Source organism: Homo sapiens, chromosome 12 (assembly GCF_000001405.40).
Source record: "Homo sapiens chromosome 12, GRCh38.p14 Primary Assembly".
NCBI lineage: Eukaryota > Metazoa > Chordata > Mammalia > Primates > Hominidae > Homo > Homo sapiens.
Genome location: NC_000012.12, coordinates 126,791,236 through 126,793,038, shown reverse-complemented (window position 1 = coordinate 126,793,038; position 1,803 = coordinate 126,791,236). Strand labels below are relative to the sequence as shown.

The 1,803-nt window shown below is 40.5% G+C and overlaps 1 annotated feature.

Annotated features, from left to right (window-relative positions):
* Window positions 413–576: a silencer, noted in NCBI's record as "fragment chr12:127277009-127277172 (GRCh37/hg19 assembly coordinates)". NCBI's record gives its function as "represses an EF-1alpha promoter that drives an FKBP-Casp9 reporter gene in an ReSE screen in K562 erythroleukemia cells {active_cell/tissue: K562}" and the evidence as "EXISTENCE:reporter gene assay evidence [ECO:0000049][PMID:32094911]".

Below are 1,803 nucleotides of genomic sequence, written 5' to 3'. Positions count from 1 at the left end.
GCAGATCACTTGAGCTCGGGAGTTCAAGATCAGCCTGGCCAACGGAAACCCTATCTCTACTAAAAATACAAAAAAAAATTAGCCAGGCATGTGGCCTGTGCCTGTAATCCCAGGTACTCAGGAGGCTGAGACAGGAGAATCGCCTGAACCTGGGAGGCAGAGGTTGCAGTGAGCCTAGATGGTATCACTGCACTCTAGCTTTGGCGACAGAGTGAGACTCCATCTCAAAAACAAAAACAAATAAACTAACAAAAACAACAATATTTATACAAGGATAAAGCACGCACAATTGCAACTGAAACTGTCATCTTAACAATTTGTAAAATTAAAACTATGCATAGACTACACTATGCATGAACTGTGCGTAGACTACACTGTGAGTGAACTGTGTGTAGACTACACTGTGCGTGAACTGTGCGTAGACTACACCGTGTGTGAACTGTTTGTAGATTACACTATGCATGAGAGTGTGCTGCAATCGTCCCTCCCTCTCTCCCAGCAAGGCAGAGGCTCAGCCAGAGCCATGGTCATAACTGTGCCATGAGCTTCCAGTTGGTGCCCATTCTAACTGGGAGGAGCTCTGACACCTTTGCTGAGAAATATTTTGACATTTACCCCTCTTTTATAAGCACACAGAATTAATGATGAAAGTAATTTCTAACTTTTACCCAATTCTTACTACATTATGCTAAAAGCTAGCTATGCTTGTATTTCCATGTTTAAGTCTCAATGTGCATGAATGAGGTGTTGTGGTAGGAATCATTTGACCTGTTTTGGAAACCAAGACTCCAAAATAGATGTAGCTTTCCTAAGGTCACAGAGCTAGCAAATGAGGGGTAAGAATTGAATCTAGGTAGTTGAACACACTCTATCAGGAATGAGCGAACTATTTCTGCAAAGGCCAGAGATTAAATATTTTAGACTTGTGACCCTACAGACTCTGTCTCAGCTACTCAACTCTGCTGTTATAGGGCACAAGTCTCCACAGACAACACACAAATGTACAGCCATGGCTATGCTCCAGTAAAATGTCATTTACAAAAACAAGTCTTTAATGGCTATGCCACCAGTAGCGGTTTTGTTTAAAACATATTATAAATATTAATGATATTGATTACAGTCCTTAAAAATGTGTCATGTCCCATTCCTGACACAGAAATACTCAGAATCTATTACTGGCTGACATCATCTAACAACCACCAATTTCTTTCCTGAACTTGTTTAGCATGAGAAAATATATGTCAGCAAAGGTCTGTCTGAATGCAGGCAGGTCAATATGACTTGCCATCTTCATGGTTTTTGCCTGTCTTCATGTCCACTTAGCTGCCTCCAGTTCATTCTCCAGCTACTATCTTTCTGTGTTTTTATATTCCAATATGTGCTAAGAAATGACAGAACATCTAAACCCTATTAGGTGAACATTGGCATAATAGATTAACACCATGAATATGATCATTAGGTCTCATAAACTGTAGTAAATACTTTGCTGTAGGTAGTTGAATTCCACTGGGGACATTAGAAGTGTAGCTTTCCACTCCTGAGCAACTGCAGAAAGGAACATTTAGAAAGTACACAGTGTTTAACCTGCTCCGGCAAAGATGGTTATTTCTGGTCATTTGCAGGGTGTACCAGTGGGCATATATTCCCCTTGACATTTTACAATTACTCCTTTCAGCTGTGAAACCATTTGTATATAACCGAGGTAAGAACCGCTTGCAGAACACTTTGGTCATTCTGGTTTGTTTATAAGAGAACATAAAAGTGCCATCTGCCTGAAGTTTATTCAGGAAATCCACCGCCGAG